General features: G+C 37.7%; 1 protein-coding gene across 6 annotated transcripts in view, besides 1 other annotated feature; it reads right to left on the reverse strand.

Moving 5' to 3' along the window:
• DNAH7 (dynein axonemal heavy chain 7) overlaps positions 1–26,340 on the reverse strand; it is a 331,135-nt gene that overhangs the window by 49,796 nt on the left and 254,999 nt on the right. For all 6 annotated transcript variants that reach the window (XM_011511488.4, XM_017004504.3, XM_011511490.4 and 3 more), the window contains 6 exons: positions 22,247–22,373; positions 21,184–21,378; positions 19,242–19,334; positions 11,798–11,974; positions 9,078–9,239; positions 6,840–7,040 (listed from right to left, as the gene is read on the reverse strand). In XM_011511488.4, coding sequence (XP_011509790.1) covers positions 6,840–7,040; positions 9,078–9,239; positions 11,798–11,974; positions 19,242–19,334; positions 21,184–21,378; positions 22,247–22,373 — 955 coding nt within the window. The remainder of the gene's footprint in view (positions 1–6,839; positions 7,041–9,077; positions 9,240–11,797; positions 11,975–19,241; positions 19,335–21,183; positions 21,379–22,246; positions 22,374–26,340) is intronic.
• Positions 324–1,523: an enhancer, noted in NCBI's record as "BRD4-independent group 4 enhancer chr2:196652546-196653745 (GRCh37/hg19 assembly coordinates)". NCBI's record gives its function as "activates an origin of replication core promoter dependent on BRD2, P300/CBP, MED14 and CDK7 cofactors, and independent of BRD4, by STARR-seq in HCT116 cells {active_cell/tissue: HCT116}" and the evidence as "EXISTENCE:reporter gene assay evidence [ECO:0000049][PMID:35650434]".

Raw genomic sequence — 26,340 nt, forward strand, 5'->3', positions numbered from 1 at the left:
AACGTGTGCTCCCAGATCACCATGGAGAAATGTTAAAGGAGATAATTCGAACCGATTAGAGGTCTCTAAAACCCACGAGGAGAATAGGAAACAAGGAAAATAGAACTTTAAAGAGGATTTGTGAAGAGATTTCCTGGGAGGGAACAGCTGTTATGCTGGGAGTCCCCTTCCCCTAATCCCCAGTAGGGAGGGTTGTGTGGGGTCTACCCTCTAAGTTCGAGTTAGTGAGAAGGAATTGATGGGGCCACCTGGAGAGCTGACACATGTCCCCTGCAGCTGGGGCAGGGTGGAAAGTAGGGAGAGGATGGTAAAAGTGAAGTCGCCACACTCCTCCAACAGTGGGCCCATCCAGTGGGAATCCCAAGGAGCAGACGGAGAGTGTGGGCTGAGAATGGGAGCTGGGGGTCATTTTAAAGGTGCCCTGGTTAAGAAGACTTCTGCCACGGGGTGAGGAAACCCCAAGGGTAAGAGCCTGTATGAAGGGAGTGCTGGAGAACCAGAAGCTGAGGAGGATTTGGAGTAGCCATCTTGAGTAGAGACACTGCCAAAGGTGACAGAGTCACAGTCACAGAAGTCCAGCAGGGGAGCCTAAGGAGAACCCATGAAAACACTCACAAGAGATTTCACAAAGAGCTCAAGGGTCAGCTTTAAATGATTTGCCAAGTCCAGAGAGCTGTAGGCAATAGCAGCCGCCATCAGGAATTTCTGCCTCTCCCAGCCTTGCCCTCACACACACTTGGAGCTGAGCAGTCAGTATCAGCAGCTATCAAGTGCAGGAGGAGTCACAAGAAGAAAGATGCCAACTCCATCTTCCCCCAAGGGCAGGAAGGCCACCAACTACAAGCCCAAGGTGAGACACTGGGAAGTGGAAACCTAGATTTTGAATAAAAGTTGAAGTAATGATCAATATATTACATTATACTTCTTGGTTTCTGAATCAAGGCTGGCTTTACAATTTAAAATGACTACAGAACACTTTACTACCTAACAGTAACCAGAAAAGTCAAAGAAATGGCATTTTATACAAGAGCAGGGGAAGGGTTTCCCTCACAGAATAACTTTGAAAGGTAGAGTGGGAGACAAAAAAAAAGTTGCATAAATTTAACCACAGAGGTAGTTAAACATGCTGGGCTAATTCTGGACTATTTTCAATATATTAGAGAATTGAGCAAATCAGTAAATGTGCTGATGTGTTGAAAACCAGGCTTCTCATTGCAGAAGAAGGGACATACAAATATGGAATGAGGAAAAGCAAAAAAGATATCTGAGAAGAGTGACTGAAATTGGAGGTATTAGTATGAATTCATCACTTCTAAAATATGTATGTAGTATTTATGTGCACATGAACTTGTCTGCATGTATGTGTATTTGTATATTTGCATGTATGTGTGCATGTATATTTGTATATTTGTGTATGTGTGTACATGTATATACTTCCAAGTTCTCTCCACTGAAAGAGTCAAGAAAATACAGACAGATAATGCAGTAGCAATAAGCTCCTCTAACACCCAAACCATGCTCTCTAATGCCATTCTCCATTAAAAGGAAATGGGATTCTTCAGAAAAATGGCTGATTCCAGGGCTGGGGCAAGATAGGTACACCATGAGCCTGGAACATCTTATGCCAGAAAGTAAGAGGTACTACTGCTACTAATCACCAGATAATAGAATTTTTTTTTTTAATATGGAACCTATACCAAGTACAGAGGAAGCAGTTTGAAGGAGCCCTAACTGACCAACTCTGGAAGAATCTGAGTACCAAAAGACTCAAGTATAGCAATGAAAATACTTAATGTACCATTGAGGGGAAAAAAAAAGCATAGGAATTCATAGTCCATGCCAATTAATAGATAAACAAATGGCGGAGAAGGGAGAACTGTTGCTTGTAGTAGAGTGCCAAGTGTCGAATGTGGAAGGGAGCACTCGGGTAGGAAATAATATTTTTACAATCATCACAGAATAACTGGATCAGGTAAGAATCATCAATGATTACTAATTCTGGGTTGGGGCTGGATTTTGATGAGGAATGGGATATTTTCATGGTGCTAAAGTATCTCCCCCACAGACTGATTATTCCTGGCAAAGGAGAAAGCAGTTATTATACAGTGAGGAAATAAGGCAATACTTTGTCTTGGTGATCAGAATTAGTATCATCAATGAGGGACAAATGGCATCATGTGCCTCCAGATGTGATCTCTGAGCATACAACATCACCTATGGAATATCTTGGCTAAGAATGAATCACCTGAATCTAATCATGAGAAAACATTAAAAAAAAACCCAAAATGAGAAATTTATTAAAAAACAGAGAGGAAGTCCTAGCCAGAGTAAACAGGCAAAAGAAAAAATAAAAGACATCCAAATAGAAAAAGAAGAAGACAAACTATCTCTCTTTGCTGACAATATGATTCTATACCTGGAAAACACCAAAGACTCTGCCAAAAGACTCTTAGAACTGATAAATGACTTCAGTAAAGTTTCAGAATACAAAATCAATGTACAAAAATGAGCAGCATTTCCATACACCAATAATGTTCAAGCTGAAAGCCAAATCAAGGACACAATCCCATTTATAATAGCTGCCTCCCACCCCACACAATACTTAAGAATACATTTAACTAAGGGCTGAAAAATCTCTACAAGGAGAACCACAAAACACCGCTGAAAGAAATCACAGGTGACCTAAACAAATGGAAAAACACTCCATGCTCATGGACTGGAAGAATCAATACTGTTAAAATGGCCATACACCCCAAAGCAATATACACATTCAACACCATTCCTATCAAACTATCAATCATTTTTCACAGAATTAGAAAAAATTAATTCTACAACTCATAAAGAACCAAAAACAGCTTGAATAGCCAAAGCAATCCTAAGCAAAAAGAAGAATACCAGAGTCATCGTATTCCCCAACTTTAAATTATATTACAAGGCTACAGTAACCAAAACAGCATGGTACTGGTTAAAAAAAAAAAAAAAAGAAAAACAGACACATAGACCAATGGAAGAGAATAGAGAACCCAGAAATAAAGCTGCACACCTACAGCCATCTGCTCTTTGACAAAGTTGACAAAAATAAGCAATGGAGAAAAGACTCCCTATTCAATAAATGGTACTGGGATAGCTGGCTAGCCATATGCAGAAGAATGAAACTGGATCCCCACATTTCACCATATTCAAAAATTAGCTCAAAATGGATTAAAGACTTCAATGTAAAAACTCAAACTATAAAAATCCTAGAAGAAAACCAAGGAAATACCCTTCTCAAAATTGGCCTTGGAAAATAATTTTTGGCTAAGTCCTCAAAAGCAGCTGCAACAAAAACAAAAATTGACAAGTGAGACCTAATTAAACTAAAGAGCTTCTGGAGAGCAAAAGAAACTATCAACAGAGTAAAAAGACAACCTTCAGAATGGGAGAAAATATTTGCAAACTATGTATCTGACAATGGTCTAATATCCAGAATCTATAAGGAACTTAAACAATTTAGCAAGCAATAAACAAATAACCCCATTAAAATGGGCAGAAGACATGAACAGACACTTCTTAAAAGAAGACTTACAAGTGGCCAAGAAACATAACAAAAAAAGTGCTCCACATCACTAATCATCAGAGAAATGCAAATCAAAACCACCATGAGATACCTTCTTATACCAGTCAGAATGGCTATTACTAAAAAGTCAAGGCCAGGCTCGGTGGCTCACTCCTGTAATCCCAGCACTTTGGGAGGTGAAGGCGCGTGGATCACGAGGTCAGGAGATCGAGACCATCCTGGCTAACACAGTGAAACCCCGTCTCTACTAGAAATACAAAAAATTAGCCGGGCGAGGTGGCGGGCGCCTGTAGTCCCAGCTACTCGGGAGGCTGAAGCAGGAAAAAAAAAAAAAAAAAAAGTCAAAACACAATGGATGCTGGTGAGGCTGCAGAGAAAAGGGAATGCTTATACACTGTTGGTAGGAATGTAAATTAATTTAGCCACTGTGGAAAGCAGTTTGGAGATTTCTTAAATAACTTAAAACAGAACAACCATTCCACCAAACAATCCCATTACTGTGTGTATATCCAGAGAAGATAAAACATTCTACTCAAAAGACACATGAACTCATATATTCTCAGCACTAATTGCAACAGCAAAGACATGGAATCAACCTTAGTGTACATCAATGATGGACTGGATTAAGAAAATGTAGTACTTATACACTGTGGCATACTATGCAGCCATAAAAAAGAATGAAGTCAGGCCCTTTGCAGCAACATGGATGCAGCTGGAGGCCATTATCCTAAGACAGTTAATGCAGGAGCAGAAAACCAAATACTGCATCTTCTCACTTATAAGTGGGAGCTAAACATTGGGTAAACACAGACATAAAGAAGGAAACAATAGGCCAGGTGCAGTGGCTCATGCCTGTAATCCTAGCACTTTGGAAGGCCAAGGAGGGCGGACCACTTAGGTCAAGTGTTTGAGACCAGCCTGGCCAACATGGTGAAACCCAGTCTCTACCAAAAAATATAAAAATTAGCCAGGTGTGGTGGTGTGCACGTGTAGTCCCATCTACTCATGAGGCTGAGGTGGGATAATCGTTTGAGCCCAAGAGGTGGAGGTTGCAGTGAGCTGTGATTGAGCCACTGCAATCCAACCTGGGCAATAGAGTGAGACCCTGTCTCAAAAAAAAAAAAAAAAAAAAAAGGAACAATAGATACTGGAGACTACTAAGGGGAAAGGGAGTGAGGGGGCAAGGGCTTAAAAACAGTTGGGTACTATGCTCACTACCTGGGTGACAGGATCATTCATATCCCAAACCTCAGCATCACTTAATATACCCATTTAACAAACCTGTAAATGTATCCCCTGAATCTAAAATAAAAGTTGAAAGTACAAAAAAACCAAAAAATACACACACACACACACACACACACACACACACACACACACACATTAAAAAAACAGGGGGAGATGACTTCTTCAGAGATATCAATGTCATAAAAGACAAAGAAAGAATAGGAAAATGTGCCAGATTAAAAGAGACAAAAGAGACGAGGCAATTAAGTATAACACTGAATACTAGACCAATGCTGTCAGGGACAGGAAATGGATATTACTGCATCAACTGACAAAATTGAAACACAAATGATAGATTAAATAACAGTGTATCCTTCTTAAACTTATTAAAAGTAATAACTGTACCAGAATAAGATAATATCCCTATTCTTACAAAATTTACACCAAAAAAATGTAATGATAAAGGGCCATGATATATCTAACTTATCTAATTTACATGCACCTGATGTGGGGGCAGGGGAGGGATGGTCAGGGGAAGGGGGAGAGAGAGAGAGAGGAAATACAAATAATAAAGCAAAAGGAATAAAATATTAACAGGAGATGAATATGGGTAAAAAGGTGTAGGGATGTTCCTTGTACTATTGTTATTTATTTATTTATTTAGAAATAGGGTCTTCTTGCTCTGTCACCCAGGCTGGAGTGCAGTGGGATGATCATGGCTCACTGCAGCCTTAAACTCCTGGGCTCCAGCGATCCTCCCTCCTCAGCCTCTCGAGTAGCTGGGACTATAGGTGTGTGCCACCAGGCCTGGCTAATTTTTTATTTATTTATTTTTATAGAGGTAGGGGTCTCACTATATTGTCCAGGCTGACCACAAACTCCTGGCCTCAAACAATCCTCTTGCCTCAGCCTCCCAAGGCACTGGGATTACAGGTGTAAGCCATCATGCCTGGCCCTTGTACTATTTTTATACTCGCATTTTTTCTGTAAGATTAAAATTATTTTCAAATAAAAAGTTAAAACAAAAATTATGATGTGCTGCTTTGGCATTTAATGAGACTTTGGTTTTCGTTCGGGCTGTGTTTCATAAATTCCTGGACCTGAAATGTAGGTGACTACTGCTGGAGAGACCTTTTGATCTAGAAGAAAGGGAGGGTTTGAGTTAAAATTTTGCAAAGAGGCTCTGTCTAGTCCATCATACGCAGAAATGCCATCATCATCTATCTGGGAGTAACTTGCTCTCTCTGGCCCTAATCAATACAAAAGCTAGTCCTATGGCAGATCTTAGAAGCTTAAGAGATGGTTTGACTTAGTTTTAAATATAGGCCCCCTTTTATTTTTTAGTACCCAAGACTTTTGTTTAATGAAAGTACTTCTTTATTTTTAATGTTTTCCTTTGATGTGCACTTAAAACAAATTCAGACATCAAGCGTGTGAGCTTTTTAACAGCAAAAACTTCCTAAAGTTCATAACCCCTCTTAAAAAGAAACTCTTCCATTTTTAATTATGGCAAAACGCTGTGAAACAATTTTAGGTCACAGACATTCACGTACACAATTCTAATCATGAAAGCAGTGGGTGGTTTCCCTGCTTGCCTGGTGACGCTAAAAAAGACCCTTATGAGTCCCATCAATCAAGAAGTAAAATCATTTTGGCTCTCATTATAGTTATATGAAGGAAATATTTTTATGTTTTAATTTAGAGACATGGCTCTAAATAGCACAAGGCTCAGTTAATATCCTGAAACAAGATTCTCCAACCTTGCAGATTTGTACTGGGAATGGCTTACAGCTGACTTTCTAAATAGAAAGCTACATTATTAATGACACCCCATAAGATCTCAGCTGAGCAGGAATGAGGCTGGTGCTAAAATTAAAATAAAATATTAACAAAATTGACTTCAGCACAGTCAATAATCAGTTATCAAAACCTACTGCACTGCGGTGCAGGAGGCCTATTTAATTTTTAGTTTTACTCAGTGCACACATCCATGATCACCAGGGGCCACTTGAAGTGCTTTACAGGGCCGAGGTAACAAGACTTAACCATTACTAACAGGCTTTTTGCAGCTGCCAAAGAACTCCGGATCAGAGATCGGGTCCATGAGGTATGATCGAATGATATTAGCCCGTAAACCTTTTGGTGCTTCATTGGTCATTTTCACTCCATTCTGCAGTACTGACACAGGGAAATTTGGAGATGGGTAACTCGTTAGCCACATTCGGAAATCTGGATGTGTTGACTCTGGGCTTAACTCCTGTAAGAAAATAAATCAGATACAAAAGAGTAAATAAAACCCAAAGAAAATCTCAAAAGCATACATATGAAGGATGAGTTGGAAGGGGGAGGAAGTATTTTTACAAAGTAGAAATGTAACTGCTGCAATTTTCAGCAAAAGCTTTAAAATCTGATGCTGCTCCTAAAACAATAACACCTTGTTGAGAAGGCCCAAGGTGTTGTCATTCTCCTTGGTAACATTAATTCATATGATTATAAAGTTTACAAAAGTGCTATATAATTTAGAGTTGGTTAAAATAACTAAGACGTTCCCAAAACTCTTGTATGTGCACTGATGTTGCTGAAATATTTACAGAAATAATTCTCTGCCCCAGAGCTAGATTAAAGACTAATCCATTTCTCTTGCTGTAGCCAGGTTGTGAGAATAAACAAGGCACTCAGATAAGTCAGGGACAGATTTCTCTCTTACAGGACTCTGTGATGGGTATATATGATACAATTCAACAGGTCATGAGAACAGTCTCAGTCTGGAGACAGATGAACCATAAGCAGACAGGCACAAACATAAAACCTCTGATAGGCCAGGCATGATGGCTCACGCCTGTAATCCCAGCACTTTGGGAGGCCAAGGCAGGCAGATCACCTGAGCTCAAGAGTTCGAGACCAGCCTGGCCAACATGGTGAAACGCTGTCTCTACTAAAAATACAAAAATTTAGCCGGCCATGGTGGCAGGTGCCTGTAATCCTAGCTACTCGGGAGGCGGAGGCACCAGAATCGCTTGAACCCAGGGGGCGGAGGTTGCAGTGAGCCAAGATCGTGCCACTGCACTCCAGCCCGGGTGACAGATTGAGACTTCATCTCAAAACCACAACAACAACAACAACAAACACCTCTGATATAAGGCGTGAAGTATGAGGAAATGTTGTAAGGCAAATGATAAAAAGAATAGTTTTTCAGGCAGAAATTACATCAACTATGATGACGTATACTCTTGAGAAAGTGTGCTGCACCAATAAAAGTGAAAGAAGTTCAAAAGGCTAGAGCATGGAAGTCATGATGAAAGTGGCCTGAGAAGAAACTTGAGAAGTAGGCAAAGGTCAGGTTCTGAAGAGTGCTGTAGGTCATGTTGGGGGTTTGAACTTTGTCTTGCATGCCTTGGGAGGCCATTGAAAAGTGTCAGGCAGTGAAGATATTGCTTGATTGTATCCTATGGGCCTCACTGTTCAAGGTGCTGGAGGGAAAGCAGAGAATACAACAGATAAAGACAAAGTCACTGTCTTCATGATGCTTACATTCTAGTGGGAGACACGGCCAGAACAAACTGGCGCTAAGTGACGTAAAGAAAAAACAAAGCCAGATGGGTGGATGGTGCAAGTTCTATCATCACCATGGTTATTTAGAAGGGAGTTAGGAGTGGGCTAGAGTCATGGGTAATTCCAGAGGATTCATTTTCTCTGTTTGTTGAGATCAAGTGCCAGGCTTTCTGTTTACTCAGTTGAGCTACATGGAGTTTTTTTCCTGGAATTTCTGCCAACCAGAACAGGGAAGTCCCACGACCCACTGCAAGGTGGGTGGGAACAGTGCCCTTTGGGTTTCAGATTTCTCTACTGTGGCAGGGTAACTGGCCAAGTGGGAGAGAAGTAAGTTAAAGAAAAGTGACATTCTGAAGCCTTTGAGTTGAGAGTGGCCACATGAATTTCACCTTGAACAGTCCTCCTTGGTTGCTTTAGGCCATTGTTATAAAAAGTAAGTTGATGTATATCTACCCTGTGGTTTACTCTCCTCCTTCAGCCTGCTCCTCAGGATTGAGGATATTTCCATCTCACTGGATGAGCCCTTGTCCCTGTTAAGAGGGATTTGCCCAGGCCTGGCTATGTGCTCGCCTCTGTTCCTCCAGATCTGGTTTTCAATGTGAGCCTCTCTCTCCTGCAATCCAGCCAAAGCACTAACCTGCAACGCTCCAAATTAGAGGGGAATGGAGCTACCCGAATGTTATGTATATTACTAATTAGATCCAGGGAATGCAATCTAATAAGTATAAACTTGCATTTTTACCTCACAGACTTTCTCAAGGGTTGGCATCCAAGAGGTGGCAAGGTGACAATTCTGAAGAACAACCCATGTTCCTTCCTTGACAGCTTTTTCTAACATCTTCATAGCAATGGGCCCTTGGCCTTGACCAAGAGATAAAGAGCTAAGTTTTGATCCCCCATATCCCTGTGTACAAGAATAGTAGAGATGTTATTTAAAATCACATTTTAAGAAACATCAATATTGTTTTTTTAAAAGTTAACATTGACTATATTACAACTTAATTGGGTCACATGTCTCAAAAAGCCAAACACATGCATCCCTAAAAAACTCTCTTTGACAAAGAATCTTATAAACACTTCGATAAAAAGCAAGTCAATTCACGTAGGAAATAGTCATGGCAATAAATGGAAAATTCTGTAGAGTCTTTGGTTGTTGATAGAAGGGATAGAAAGAATAAATTAAATAGACTTTTAACATAAGGAGGAGATGAAAGGCACTGGCAGTCTTGCAGCAACTCCTAAAATCCAAATCTGAAAAGAAAACTAAAAAGAGACAGATGAACTTGTCCTGTTTCCTCCATATCTTTGAATAACTATATTTTAGTTACTTTGGCTACTGTATAAAAGAGAATTTTTAAAATTGCCACTGATTCCCATGTCAGTTTCTTTAGAGAATTCTGTGGGAATGTTTTCCTATATTCAGTTTTACTGTATTCTAATTCGTCCCTGGCTTCTGGGTCTCCTTTCTGGGGTAGTTATCACTAGACTGCCCCTTTAGAAGAGGCCTGGATACGGAAGAGTGGGGTCTCAGCCCCTCCCGAATGCCCATGGCTTATTGTCACTAGCTGGTAGAGGCAGCAGAAAACAAAGTAGAGCTGGATCCTGCTGTTTCTGGAAGAAGAGGAGACAGCAAGAGAAGAGAATGCATGAGCAGGACCCACATAGGAGCCAGAGAATAATCATATGTACAGTGTGAGGAGAGATATAAAAGCAACTAGGAGGGGCTCAAAGGGTCGTCAAGCTTGTGTTGACTAGGAGGTGAGTCCTTCGTAGAAGTGAACACTTCCACCATTCCCACTCTACTCCTACCCACCATTGCTCTTCCTGGACTTTCAATAGCCAACGCCCTTACTAGGGGCCTCCTTCTATTCTGCACCACCCAAATAAATTCTTCAGGCTCCAACTAGGATGAACTTTATAAATTATAGGTCAGATCATGTCAGTTTGTTGCTTAAAACCCTACTCCTCCATCTTCCCATCTTACTCAATGTCCTTAATGTGGCCTCCAGAGACCCTACATGATCTGGTCCTTCACACATCTCAGACCTCATCTCCTCCAATCACCACAGCCACATTCCAATGCTTCTTCAACAAATAATAAGTACTATGCTAAGCTATCTATTCTTCTGCATATGAGAATTACACTCATGCAAAAATACATAATTCAAAAATCTGGAGGAAATAGGACAAGTTCACCTATTTATAGTTTTCTTTTCAGCTTTAGGTTTTAGGAGCTGCTGCAAGGCAGCCAGTCCTTTTTATTTCCTCCTTATGTTAAAAGTCTTCTTAAATTTTTTTCTATGCCTTATATCAATTTTTTTTGGCCTAGTAAATTTTTTTTAACCTCTCAGCTACATGGCCTTTGAGGAGATACTTAACCTGTCCATGCTTTAGTGTTCCTATCTGTATAATAGAGATACCACCATCTACCTTATGGAGTTGTAGAACATGTATGTAACAAGGTCTAGCAAAGTCAACAGTATACATTAAGCACTCAATACAAGTGGTGGTGGTGGCTTTAGAAATATCAGTAGCATTACCACACTGTGTTATTTTAATTGTACCAAATCGAAAAAATTCAACTCAGGAAATGCCCAATCATCTGTTTATTATTATTTTCTTGTTCTAGACCATATGATGTAAGAACATTTGTACTGAATTCATTTGAATTAATTTTTAAAGACAAGGCATGTAAATAGTAGAATTTTTTTTTTTTTTTTTTTTTCTTGAGATGGAGTCTCACTCTGTCGCCCAGGCTGGAGTGCTATGGCGTGATCTCGGCTCACTGCAAGCTCAGCCTCCTGGGTTCACGCCATTCTCCTGCCTCAGCCTCCCGAGTAGCTGGGACTACAGGCGTCTGCAACCACGCCCAGCTAATTTTTTTTTGTATTTTTAGTAGAGACGGGGTTTCACCGTGTTGGCCAGGATGGTCTCGATGTCCTGACCTCGTGATCTGCCCGCCTCGGCCTCCCAAAGTGTTGGGATTACAGGTGTGAGCCACCGTGCCTGGCCAGAACATATTTTAATCTAATACAGTGACCACAACGTACAATTGTTCTGGAAAGTCAATGAAGGCCCCCCGTTAGAGAGTGGCAGAGGGGTGGGATCAGAAAAGGTGCACCCCTGAGGTCACTGTCCAGGCTTGAATTCATTAAATCAACCCAAGTTCATACACTGGTGCAAATAATGTCAAAGAGTTTCCTGTCCCCCAACCCCAAATAAAAGTAAATGCCACTTAAATCCCAATTCTAGTTTTAATTAAATTTTAATTTGGATAAGGAGTTCTTTTTTAGTGTCAGTGCTGCCATTTTAGTATCATTTTCTTGGGATTCTGTCAACTTGTGATAACTTTCAAAGGTTGAATGACAAATTTCTACCTTTCCCTCATCCTTAAAATTTCAATTATAAGCAAGTATTGCTTTTTTAAAATAATATCCGATAACTTCATCTATTGTAAGGTACCTGGTCATCAGCAAATTTTAGAAGGGCAGCCATGGGATCTGCTCCAGGAGAGAGCACGAAAATCAGTGGTGCACAGCAGTTACTGTCTCCAAATGCCTTGGCTAAATCAAAGGGGGGTGGTTCAATGAATGCACGTCCCAATCTGTTGATTATAAATTCCTGCAACATTGGAATAACCTAGAAAGAGACAAGGATATAGTTGGAAGAATATTCAAAATCTGCCTAAAACCATTAAAAATTTAGATTCAAAGGAGTTTTAAAACAAAATACCCTAGCTCTATTAGTTTAGGTATTCATTAATGGTGGGGAGTCCAAGGCATCAATGTTTATATAAATGCCTTTTAGATAGGAAATATTATAAAATATTTAGATAATAAAAGATTAGTGGTAATTGATACAAACATTCAAAGACTTTTTTTGTCCCCTTGAAATGAATGTTCAAGGCATAGTGGCTGAAGAAGGAACCTGAACTCTTAAGTTATAAAACACTAATTATGTTTCAAAAATTCACAACTCAAAAGTAGAAATTTTAGTTTAAGTTGTGCAAAATTTCCCACATCATCCAGAAAGAATTGATGTCACTGTGGAAAAGAAGAAGGAAAGGAAGAGCTCTATTCAAGAGAAACAAGCCACACACCCAAGAAACCAGACAAAACTATGTTGTGTAGAATTTCTGATAGCATTGTCTGAGAATTTTCTGGGAGCCTGTTTGAGAAACAGCAGAACTCTGCAGCTTGGTGTCTCTGTTAATTGGTCCTTTTCAGGCCTTGATTTGGGGGTGGAATTGCATTCAGTATGACTGATGTACAGCCTCGGGTACATCATTCCTGCTTTCTGACAAAGGGTCTACACCAAGCCATTTATAAGGGATCTACTCTCATGACCCTCACACCTCCCATTAGGCCTCTCCTCCCAACACCGCCACATTTGGGACTAAATTTCAAGGTGAGCTTTGGTGGGGACAAACTCAAAGTACACCAATAATTAAACAAATTGTGTTCATCATGTTGTCCATATGTATATTTGTAGCTGCTATTTTCAAAGTGAATATAAATTCCAATCACGGCAAGTGGATGTGTGATAAAAGGTATACATTTATTACTCTAAAGTAGCTACTTTAAAGAAGTTATTTGGTATTTCAATACTCTAACATGATATTGTTAATTCGGCTTGGTTGTCTTTTATGCAAAAAAGAAAATTCAATATATAGCAAAGCAAGGAAGGCCTAAAAATGCTTCTCCCTGAACAGGGGATTAAATGCTATATTAGTAACATGTAACGGATCTTTTTCTACTTCACTTTTCAAGGGCACATCTGCAATGCTTCTGATAAAGTCAAGCAGGAGACATTGTCGCCTGGCTCCCATGTTCATGCCTCACTCACATCAAACAAATATTTTGACACCTTCATTAAGTGCGACAGAAATTGAAACAATGTTGTTAATTACTCAGCCTAAAGCTATTCTATTTTCCTGGAAAAAAATCAATTGATACCTATTTTTACTCATTAAAAAAGCCTCAAAATGAAAGGCAAAAGTAAATCTAGGAACAAAACACAGGAGAAAATAATGTGGGAGAGAAAAATCCACTCATGTTTCATGTTTCAATTTTCTCCTTTGTTTTTTCAAATCTGTACTCCCTTTACTATTATGCTTCTCTTTTCCTATATCCAGTACTTCTGTGCTGACAAAACAAATGGAATGAATTGAAGAATTAGTTGATATAAAGTCAAGACACCCTTTGGGTGTCTGCTTCCCCTTCGACCTTCTGCCATGCTGTGACATTGCACAAAAGCCCTCACCAGAAGCCAAGCAGATGCTGATGCCATGCTTCTTGCACTTTCCAGCCTGTAGAACCATGAGTTTCTAATCTCTCTTCTTTATAAGTGACGAAGCCTTAGGTTGTCTGTTACAGCAACACAGAACAGACTAAGACTATTATCTAATTTCAATTTCTCGTCTATTAACTACCAAAAGTACTTTTTTTCCTGCTCTGAAATATATATATATATATATGCACAAAATTGTCATAAATATTTGTTGTTCATTTTTTAGTCACAAATTCTTGCAAATGAATAGATTCCCCCTTCACAGAATATTGTGAACACTACCTTACAGTTTAAAATTAAACTCCTAGTAGACAAGGGGCTACAAAAGCATACCAGTTTCAGAAGAGAACAGCGATATCTCAAGAGAAGGAGTAATGGAAAGATTTTTTGAAGGCCCCAGCACCACCCCGACTGAATAGCTGCTCAGATACAAGAATGGAATTGTGTGTATATACAACACACTGCACTATGTAGACAATTCCACCAGCCTGCAACTTTTCTCAACTTGAAGCAAACTGCAGGAGCAATGTGCAGGTGCCAAGTATCTTAAAACGATGGTCTACTCTGTAAAACATTGCAAATACTTCCAAACTTCGATTTTATAGTCTATGAAACATTTATTTATACAAGATCTGTAAGTAAAAATAATTGACATGTCACAATGCCTTCTGTCAGTCCTAGTGCATGTGTGACTGAGAGACTGAGTGTGTTAGGGTGGGGAGCTGAGAGCCAATGGAGGAATATGTGTGTTAGGGATCAGATTTTTTTAATCCCTCCCAATATTTCTCTAGATTCATTCAAATATGGAAAATGTATAGGTGAGCAACAACACATTTATAAATGCCTGATAGCATGGACCTACCTATGAGGATGACATATATACTGTTTGCACAAAATAAACATCCACTGAATGACTAAATTGATAAAAAGCTCAGGATGCCTACTTTTGTGAAAGTGGGGTTCTAATTACAAAAATATTAAAAATCACAGAATAATTAATTCATCTATACATAATTAATTCACCTACACATAAAGTTTCATTTATAGATGTTATTTTATGTTTCAGGTTTTGTTTTTTGTTCTTATTTAAAATCTGTATAAATTTCAGCCAGGCGTGGTGGCTCACACCTGTGATCCCAGCACTTTGGGAGGCTGAGGTGGGTGGATCACCTGAGGGCAGGAGTTCAAGACCAGCCTGGCCAACATGGTGAAACCCTGTCTCTACTAAAAATATGGGTATGGTGGCGTGTGCCTATAATTCCAGCTACTCGAGAAGCTGAGGCACAAGAATCACTTGAACCCGGGAGGTGGAGGTTGCAATGAGTCGAGATTATGCCACTGCACTCCAGCCTAGGCAACGAGAACGAAACTCCATCTCAAAAAAATTTTTTTTAAGATTAGCTGGGCATGGTGGTGCATGTCTGTAATCTCAGCTACTCAGGAGGCCAAGACATGAGAATCACTCAAACCCAGGAGGTGGAGGTTGCACTGAGAGGAGATGGTGCCACTGCATTCCAGCCTGGGTGACAAAGAGACTGTCTCAAAACAAAAAAAACAAAATCAAAAAGGAAAAACAAAAAAAAAACAAAAATTTTGTATAAACTTATAGGGTGCAAGTGCAATTTTTTACATGCATAGATTGTGTTGTGGTAAGGTCAGGGCTTTTAGGGTATCCGTTACCCAGATAATGTACATTGTACCCCTTAAGTAATCTCTGGTCATCCACCCTGCCACACCCTTCACCCTTCTGAGTCTCCTCTGTTTGTCATTCTACACTCTATATCCAGATATACACATTATTTAGCTCTCACTTATAAGTGACAACATTCAGTATTCGTCTTTCTGTGTCTGACTTATTTCACATATGATAAATGTTTCAGATATTTTGAATGGTCACAGATGTCAAACTTATTGTCAGAAGATGAAAAATATCCTAATTGTCTGTCCCAGGACTTGGCCTTACCCTTTTCTTTATTATTATTTTCCTATAGCTGGTCTTTTCTCGATAGATTTTTTAAAAATTAACAAAAAAACCCCACTTTTTCCGTAATCTCTTTCTTCCCACGGCTAACTTCATGAAATTATAGTTTTGCAAACAAAATGAAAAGAACATGGGTTTTAAGTGCATGGTTTTACTTGAAGCAAGTTTGAATTATAAATGGCCTCACTTCTGTGAGTGGTTCAAACTGGTGTCACTTTGCACAGGCAAATGGGTCTGGCAGAGTGTGATTCTTCTTTCTGTCTGCTAGCACTGGAGGATCAAGTTAGGGGTGCTCACCTGAGAGTGATCAGAGACAAATTGCAGTGTTTCACTCTTAATGTCGAAGCTGAACAAAACTTAACTTGCTCCCAAGACTGAATTGTAACTCCCGAGGTAAATGAACCTGCGTTAGCTATTCAGTTTGCAAGGCAACAGAATTGGGTTTGCCTCTTCAATCTGATTATGCCAGCGTTAGGTTTGTAAAATGAAATCTGTCAGTAACAAAACTTACAGACTAATTTAGGCAACCATTCTCCCACAGGCAGGGAAGAAGTCTGCGGTCTTCTATGTATGTTTTGCTATTTATTGCAAGTTCCTACTGGATTTATCTGAGGCCAGAGAAACATATTAACTTATATTTGACAAGTTTCTTATTGAAAGCTGATTAATTTGCTGTTTGTTTACCATTTTGAAGGACAGAACTGTGGCCAGAAGCTCTTCATTTTGTAAATGGACTCAAAACATTCCACACCTCAGTATTTATCTATTTGATATGTTTCTTTTGTCAATAAAACACTATAAACTATTAAATTCTAAAGGAAAGTGCAAGCCCATCTCATTTTTTCTACTGGTGATTTAGTGAGACTCTTACATTTTTTCAAACTGGAGCGTTAGAGGGCCTGCTATTTGTGGCTTCTTACCACTGAGTGGGGCTGGTTTTGAGGGGAGAGGGGGGGAAGGAGACCCCCCCCAAATTGTGCTCATGGAGCATACAGTAAACTAGAGAGCAATTAATTGCTGATTTTCCTGGATATCTGTGGCTATACAGATTATCTCTTAGAGGTGAAAAAGAAATAAACTCTTATAGAGTACTAGCTCAGATATTAGCCCCATTCAGCAATGCTCTTCTTCCTGGTATTCTACTACCATTCTTCTTTGGAAAATCATTCTTTTAAAAGCATAATAGCCATGTATTATTTTATCATACATAGATTCCAAAATCATAATTTCACCAATAGAAATTGGAGCACCTGGTAACAGTAAAATTAAAGGGTTTGAAGCTACTGGATAATATAACGGCATACTAACAATTATTTTTTTATTAAGGACATGAGTGTGGAGGTGTCGCTAATGGTACCTAGTTAATTGTATCACCACGATAGACTGAGTTTAGCTGTGCTGGCAAACAGTTTCCAAACTGCAGTGGCTTAACACATGAAAACTTACTTCTTGTTCCTGCAAAGTCATCTGAGTCTTAAGGCAACTGTCTCCATGCATTGGCTCAGCAGTCAAGCCTGCTTATAGTGCTTAAATAGCAGCAATATGTGATTCCACTATTTTGATGGCAGGGAGAGCACCTCAGAGAATCTGACCCTGGCAGTTAAATGCTTCTGCTCTAACACTTCTGCTCACATCTTATTGGTCAAAGTAAGATGTATGGACACAATCCTCCCACTTCAAGTGTGCACAGGAGAGAAGAACCAGAAATACTGATGAGTAGTATTGTCCACATATCTATCTATCTATCCAAGTAAAATGGGGAAACTGTAGAGGAGATTTTAAAATATATATGAAGATGATACAAGACAGAGGGCTAAAGTACTAGGCAAAGTAGCTGAAAGAAGTATAAAACCATAAATTTAACCTCCAATGATTTAAAAACAAACAAAAAACATACAAACCAACCTGTCCCCCACCAAAAAAACCCCTCAGCTTGACTATGTAACTTCCCACCTCCCTCGAATATACTTTAAAAAGAGAGTGAACGTAGAAAGAGATATATCATCTTATTGATAGCTCCATGTATTTTCAGATTAAAGTGTCAAATTTTTAAAAACATTGAACTGGGGGAAAATATTTGCAGACAAAACTGCTGCAATTAGGAAATGCCTCATTAATCACTTTTAATTAAACTTAATATAAAACACGAACTTTTTTTTTTAATATTGAGGGAGGAAGGTCAGTGGTACATCCAGAGCCATTATAATAGTTTTTATCTAGCTTAGAAAACAAAGTGAAAAACTGAAAATTTTAATAAAATGTTTTAGAGGAGGAAGCCACATTAAACAACAGTGTGAAGCATCTCATATTCTCCCATCTTTAACATATGAAGTGAAAACTTGTGAGGCTTAACACTAGCATTTTCATGGAGATTACATTTTTTAAAAGGGCTACCAAGGGGTAGGATGTCTCACCAGGGTCATAAAGAATGCTAAACTACTGTAGTTACTTCCAGCATAAGAGAGTGGGGTAGCAGAGTGACTTTCGTGGACCCAAGGTACTTCATAGGCCCCTTTCTCCTTTAAAAAAAATTAAAAATTATATTTTACCATTGTTGGTATAAAGACAAATATACACACACTGGATTATATTCTTCTGATTTTAAAAGAAACTACAACATTTTCATAGACCCCTGGAAGTATTCTGGTTCCCAAGCACTGTGCCTCCTGTGCCTAATGGATACTTGGGCCTTGGCTAAGAACAGACTGCCACATCATGCAAGAATTACATGTGTTCAGTGAACAGAGTAGGGCTCATAGAGGGAAAAATGCCCCTAACCCATATTATCACTGATGTGTATTTTTAAAAAATTAATACATTACTTTGACAATCTAAATTCTGCTTTATTTTTTTTTCTTTTGGTTAGGATGGAGATATTTCTCCTATTCCTTAACAGATGAAACTGAATATAAGTTTTGAAATATTTATGTCAAACTTTAATTTGAGTGGTAATAATGGACAACTAGGATATTTTCTCAATTTTTTCCAACATAGCTAATGTCTATTTTTTTTTTTTAGAGCACATTGATATCTTTGTGGTATCGGTCAATATTCATAGGTGAATTTTTTTATCTAATACAAATGAGGATGTTAATGAATACTGACATTTGCTAATATAACAGGTCTGCTGATTCACTGGTTATATAATTTATTATTTAAAGAAGTTAAAAGTAACAATATTGACATTTTCCTTTGTTGTCAATAATGACGAATGTCTTAAATTCAAATTCCAACAAAAAACTATATATAAGGATAGCACTTGAGAAGTCCACAGATTCTAGTCTATCAGCTTGATGTTGACATCACTGACTAATTTCACCAAAGTATTAACAGTAAAGATAAGACTACAAATATGTAAAGGGAGTAGATTGTGAGTACTGAAAACCATAAATTAAAAACAAATAATCACAAAATAAATAAAATTATACAATATAATCCAACTAGTTACTGATTTAGGATGGTTTTAGAAAAATATACAAACTTTTTGAAAAAAATGTCTGCATTAGAAAGAAGTGGGATTATTTCCCGCAGGCTCCTCTACCTCCCCCATGATTACATAAGGAAACGCACATTTGGATGGACTGAGCAGGCATAAGGCTTTGGAATCATTGAGCTGTTTTCAAAGCCCACATTTACCTTGTCTGGCCTCAAGCAACGAATAATAAGCATCCTTTGAAACTCATTTGCTTTATCTTCCCATTCTTCAGGGAAAACCTCATGGTGTGGTTCCTAAAATTACAGTGTAAATAATTCAGTTATTTTGGAGATTATAAAGAGAACAGTATTTTCACTTATAAACCAACTTTTAGAATATATAAATGAAATCAAGAATGCTTGTCTAAATTTTACTATTTAGTGTAAAGTTGGGACATTATAAAATAAATAATAATAAGAAAAGTTAATATTCTTTAAAGGAGTCAAAACAAGGACATGAACTAATCAGGTTAATGTCGACATGAACACTAATAAACAGACAAAATGATCCCTATTATGAAAAAAGTAAATGTGCATATGCTACTATTTTCCCTTTATTCCTCCAAACACAGGCATTCTTTTTTTTTTTCTTTTTTTAAGATGGAGTTTTGCTCTGTCGCCCAGGCTGGAGTACAGTGGTGTGATCTTGGCTCACTGCAACCTCTGCCTCCTGGGTTCAAGCAATTCTCCTGCCTCAGCCTCCTGAGTAACTGGGATTACAGTGGTGCACCACCATACCCAGCTAACTTTTTGTATTTTTAGTAGAGATGGGGTTTCACCATGTTGGCCAGGCTAGTCTTGAACTCCTGACCTCAAGTGATCCACCTGTCTTGGCCTCCCAAAGTGCTGGGATTACAGGTATGAGCCACTGCTCCCAGCTGGAACAAAAACATTTTTAAAAACCTACCCACTTACCTCATCATCTATTTACAAAAATAAATAAATATTTCAAAACAAGTAAAAAGGGTATTGTACTGAAATTTATTGTATTATTTCTTGTTTTTTAAAAATACTGTTTTATAAAGGAAGACTTGAGAATGTGTGTAATGAAGAAGCCAATTGAGAGCTATTAAAAAATCACAAGAAGAGAGCCATCAGGGTACCAGAAGGGGTAAACCTTGGTGGGGAAAAAAGGAAACGTGTACCTGTGAAACTTTAGGAAAAGCTATGTGGTATCTCAAATTAGAAATCTTCATGCTTCAGCATAGTAATAAAATTTTAATTTTAAATTAGTTGAGGTACTCACAACACATACTTGTCTCTAGAAAACATTTTTATTACTAACAAGGAGAAATCCAAAAGAGATCACTTCCAAATATTTGAATTCGTGTGAAGACATAATCTCATTCTCACATATAATACAACAATATAGGTTGTATAGGTAACAAAATAAAGTATAGGTTAACCAAACAAAACATACTCTCTGCATATCTAGCTTTCTTTCCTCCAACCTCTCCCTAGGAGAGCTCTTGCATATTAAACTCACAGAAAGCAGGAAGTCAAGAGAGTAGAAACAAAGGAATAGAAAAAATTAACTGGGAATTGGAAAAATATTAGCCCTTGTGTTAAAGAAAAATTGAGAGAAAGCAACAATTGCTATATATCCCAGATGGGAAACTGTGAATATTATGTCTGTGTCAAGTATAATACTCCCCAGTTAGTAAAACAAGGTCTCGTGAAAGTTGTTTTAGAACTACTGTACAAGCTTTTTCCTTTTCTCAAATGACACACACACAGAATTTTATCAGCTTGTATCCTGCATTCAGAAAATCTAAACAACAGCTGTTCCATAAACTTTAACTCATCTGCTATTAGGATTGCCAAAATCTACATTGATAATGAATAAAAATCTGGCATGGAAATTCAACAAGTATATTCTCAAGAACCACACAGCATTCTTGCATCTTAATACATTTCAAGGAGTTTGAATGGAAGTTCAAACAGAACCACTGACTTAGAAGGGGGGATAACATAAATCAAAATTTGCATTCTAACATGTGACCAGTTGTTTAAAGCTTATTTAAATCTTGCTTTTATGAAAAGATACTTAACATTCTTTTCTCCATTTAAAAACATTGGAATAAGTGAGAGGGTTAAAACATACCAAACTATCATATACTTTCTTCCATCCATCCTTTAAGCGCATAAACTCTCTACGAATGGTTTTGAAGGCAGGCAAATCATCTAATCGACATATTTCATCCCAGGATTTCTGAGGAAGCCATGTACAAAGGTTGGCATAAGGATTATCCAGTCCAATGCCACCAGTTAGCAGAAATCTCCACTCAGCTTTATTAATCTTTGGAAAACAAGGCAGCGTGAAGAGTCAGAAACGAGTTCATCATAAACTAGTAAGCTTACAACCATTATAAAAGAGTTGAGTGTTGACTTCCAAGTTTCAGATGTGGTCTCTATGAAATTCTATAGCTAGTGTTATAGCTCAATATTTATTCATAGGAAACCAGTATACTCATGATAACCAGTTTTCAAAATAGTTCCATTTCAAATAGTTACTTTTTGACAATTTTCCTCCAGAATTACTTGTCTAAATGTGAAAATCTGAATATGTTCTATTCGAATACGTGTTTTCCAAAATGACTGCCTAGAGCCCTATTGGCTCTAGAAATTGTAGAAAGGCAGAAACCCATCAATGTGCCATGTTTTTGACTATTTTCCATAAAGTATAATGAGTTACTGATACACAACTTTTGCAAGAAATGCAAGAATAAAGTATTTATTTCTTCAGAATTCAACCAATACATCACCATATAAAATCCATAAATCTTAAACACGTAAGTGTATAAAATAGTGACTTTACACAGATTTCAGTAATTTGCACAAGTCTTTAAAAACATTTACACTACTACCTGGTGTAAACGTATCAATATTAAGTAAATTTATATGCATAGCTGTATGAAAATCTAATATAATCAATTTATTTTAAAATAAAACATAATTTAATAGTAACATAATGAAATCTGTGCTTAATTTATATCTCACTTCTGTGAAATTTATCCTCCTGATAACATCTTGCCTTAACTATAATAACAAACAGTATTATTGCTTAACTATTTACAATCTTTTTATATATATTCCCATACAAATTAATAAATTAATGAATCAGCGTTATTAAGGGTTTTTTTCTTACAAATGAAAACAGTACTGACCGCCCGCTCATGCAGCAGTAGATTTATGGTTAGACAAAAGGAAAAGAGCAGCTTATCCTTTTCAAAGAGTGACCGGCAGACATTAACATACAGTGAATAAGTAAAGTGATCCTTGAGAATCTGAAGCCTAAGGGTCAACAGAAAATAAAGGAAATAAATAAAAATATACTTTAAAGATAATGCTCTTAAGAAACTTACATGTATGTTCTTCTGATAAACTTTCTGGTCAATTACCCCCCAAACAATCAAGAATCCTCATTAATTGGGTGTACCAATTTGAGAGCTACACAATGTAGAAACACTTCAGTCCAATTGCATTTTACTGTGGACTGAGTTTTTTTTTTTTAAAACTTAATCTTCCTCTTGGAAAAAAGTTAGTGGATGGTATATTAATCTGTTAGATTAAAAAGTTTACAGACTGTTTTTATCTACAAAGCATTTCTGGGGGTAAAATTTGACCTCTTTATAACAAATAATTTCAAATGTTTTATATTGTATATTAAATGAATAGTCTAAAATTAGTAGCTTCTTTATTAAATTTAGTATTGTGCTACTCATTATAAATTCATAAAAGCTGAAGAAATCACAAAACTTGGCAAACTCCATTTTTATTTGCTAGAGGCAAAACACGAAAATAGGAATAATCACAATATTTCCTTTTTATTATTTATTTATTTATTTGAGACAGGGTCTCACTCTGTCACCCAGGTTGGAGTGAGTGCAGTGATGCAATCTTGGCTCACTGCAACCTCCACCTCCCTGGCTCAAGCCATCCTCCTGCCTCAGCCTCCCAAGTAGCTGGGACTACGGGCGTGCACCACCATGCCTGGCTAATTTTGGCAATGTCCTAACTGATATTCTAAGCTGTCAATCATCCTAGCTTTTTTTTTTTTTTCCCACTTTTCCTTACGTGCCTATTTTCTTAACTATTTTATCCCCTGCAGCATTCCCATAAAGAGAATTACAACAAATTGATGTATCTTATTTTTAATTGGGAACTTCAAAAAAAAGGTTTTTGTAGAGAAAGCCTTGGCAATAGTTGCTAAAATACAGTTGAATTCTTAGAAGACTTAAAATAAACATACTATTTCTGTCCCCATTATTATGCTAATAGGTTGTCTTTTCATGCATGGCATTGAATTTGTCTCACTTGTAGCAGTACCATACAATTAATACAGGGTGACTCACATTTGGTCTTTTCAGAGTAAAACAAAATTTTCTGCACTTTAAAACAAGTCTCTTCTTGTAGACAGAAAGATTGAAGGGAAATTATAAAGGTTAATCATATTATAAGTTCAGGTTCAATCACTAGTAAAAATGGACATATAATATGATATGTTAATAACCTTTTAAGGTGAAAAAGAAGATTAAAATTATCATTCTCAATGCTGGTGAGTGATACAGTGATATAGGATCATTCATATTCCTCTGATGGAATTGTGTGTTTGAATAATCTTCCAGGAAAGGAATTTATATCAGGAATCTGCAAGAAGTGAACACCTTTGTCCTAATTTTGGGATTTCAGCCTAAGAAAATAATCAAAGATGCAGACACTTATATTTACTGCAGCATTACTTACAATATAAAAGCTGGAGACCACTTAGAAGTGTTTTTATTTATTTGTTTGTTTGACAGGGTCTCTGTCATCAAAGCTGGATTGCAGTGGTATGATCATAACTCACTGTAACCTAGAACTCCCGGGCTCAAGCAGTCCTCCCACTTCAGCCTCCCAGGTAGCTGGGACTACAAGTGCATGTCATCACGCCAGGCTAATTTTTGCATTTTTTGTAGAGACAGGGTTTTGCCATGTCACCCAGGCTGGTATCGAACCCTTGGGCTCAAGCAATCTGCCCGCCTCAGCCTCCCCGAGTGCTGGGATTACAGGTGTAAGCCACCCCACCCAGCCAAAAGTCTTATAATACAAAAATTATGGTACATTCATACAATGGTATGTATATTGTGCAACTCCTAAAACTTATGTTTCAGAAGAATACTTAATAACATGAGAGAATGGTCTTGATAGAAGTGAAAGAAAAAAAAAACTGTGTGCGTAATTATCAAATTGCCTTTGCAAAATTATGAGAGTAAGAGAAATCTGAAATAGCTGACTCCATCTTGCTTCTGGCCTCACAGGCTGGCTGTCTTGGTTCATTCCTGGGCATGGGCGAAGCTAACTTTGGAAGAAATTTAGTTTACTAGCCATGATACCAGAGGTGGTAAGATTTGCAACTTCCCCAATCACTCCTGTAAATAACATCACTATTGTAGAACCTAAGATTGACCTTTTGGGCTATCTTTTCAGGCTTTTGCATTTCTGACTATTGGATGGCCTCACCTAGACCAGCAACTCCTCTGGCAGTCCCCACCCAGAAGCAGACTCAGGGAAGACTGTTTTCCTTGCTGAGTTCCTATGATTGTGTTTCCAACCGATCAGCATGCCCTCCTCCCTAACGCCCTGCCCATCAAACTATCCTTGAAAAGCCCTAGCCTCCGAATTTTCAGGAGATTAATTTGAGTAATGACTCCATCTTCAGCATGGTGTGGCTGGCCTCACATCAGTTAAACTCTTTCTTTATCACAATGTCATGGTCTCAGTGGGTTGATTTTCTATGGGCGGCAGACAGGAAGAACCCATTGGGTGGTTACAATTACATATACATGCATATTTGTACAGCAACAGATTGATTCCAGGATATTTAACAAAACCATATCCTAGTTAGATTTGGTTTCTATATTTATGTTATTTTTGTTTTATTTTGCTTGCTACATAAAGTTATTTATTCTGTTACATAAATTCTAATGCATTAAAATCTTATAAATAACAGATGATCCAAGTTATGGCAATTGCACAGTATATACCATACTAGTCGTAACATAATACATTCTTGGTACCATATAATAATCACTACCAGAAGACAAACAAGAATGAAATACATTTATATCCCTAAATAAAAAGAAATGAGAAATAATTTTAGACCAATATTAAGATTCTAAAACAATCAGGTTGGCTAGTGTTAATAGTCACATGTTTTCTATGCTTTTGGTAGAACTATCGTCCAATAACTGCCTGAAGTCTACCAGTTATTTGATGACTATCAATGATTGGCAGAAAAACAGATCATTTCTGTGAGAACTCATTCTCTTTTTAATTTCTGATTTGGGAGCTAGCTTCTTAATTGGAAACTCTTAGTTTACTTTAACAACAAAAAAAAGATTAAATAGGACTGATCAAAGTTTCTCTCTTGGTATAATGCTTTGGAAAACTATTGGCAGTATTTACTAAAAGGGAATATAACCATGCCCTGTGGTCATCAATTTCATTCCTGGATATACACCCACCAAAGACAGATACATATCGGCACCAAAAGCCATGTACAGGAATGTTCAAGGAAGCAAAATTTCATAATAACCCCAAGTTGGAAGCTACCCAAATATCCTCAACAGTAGAATGGATAAATGATTTGTGTTACAGTATTAGGACAAGTAAAAATTGAAAATAAGAGACTCAATTCTTTATGTTGAAAATAAGGAGAGAGATTTTCCTTCCCTCCTTTTTTTCTTAATTTAGAAAACCTAAAATTATAGGTACTTCCTCCTCTCGTTGAATATAAACCCTTTTGAAAACTAGTCAGACCTTTGTCAGTTTTATGACCCAGTAATGTCTTTCTCAAAGACCCAGAAGCCATTTCTTTGAAATCTAAACATCAAGGGAGATAGCCCACTTGTCTCCAAAGTGCTGCAGAAGGGTAGGAGCCTAACTTCAGTTAAGCTTATTTCAAGTTGCAAAACTACCTCCTGTCATACAGATACGAAAAGTTTGGTTTTCCTCTGGATAAAGCCAGTTTGCTAACACAGATGGTCACTTCAATTGCCAAGTAAAGTTAGGATGAACTAAGTGTGATGTAATGGGTTTATCTGCTTCGATAATTAAGGGGGTGAGATTCCTCTCTGTCTTTGCAATCTCTTTGTGATTGTCTCTGATTATGTGTCATGTTCCGTTTAATGTTTATTCAACAATAAAACTATTTTCTTTCTCTACTGTCTTTGAGGAGAGAGTTTCTGGGTTGGGAAAAGATGTAGTTTTTAATTATACT

This window comes from Homo sapiens, chromosome 2 (assembly GCF_000001405.40).
Source record: "Homo sapiens chromosome 2, GRCh38.p14 Primary Assembly".
NCBI lineage: Eukaryota > Metazoa > Chordata > Mammalia > Primates > Hominidae > Homo > Homo sapiens.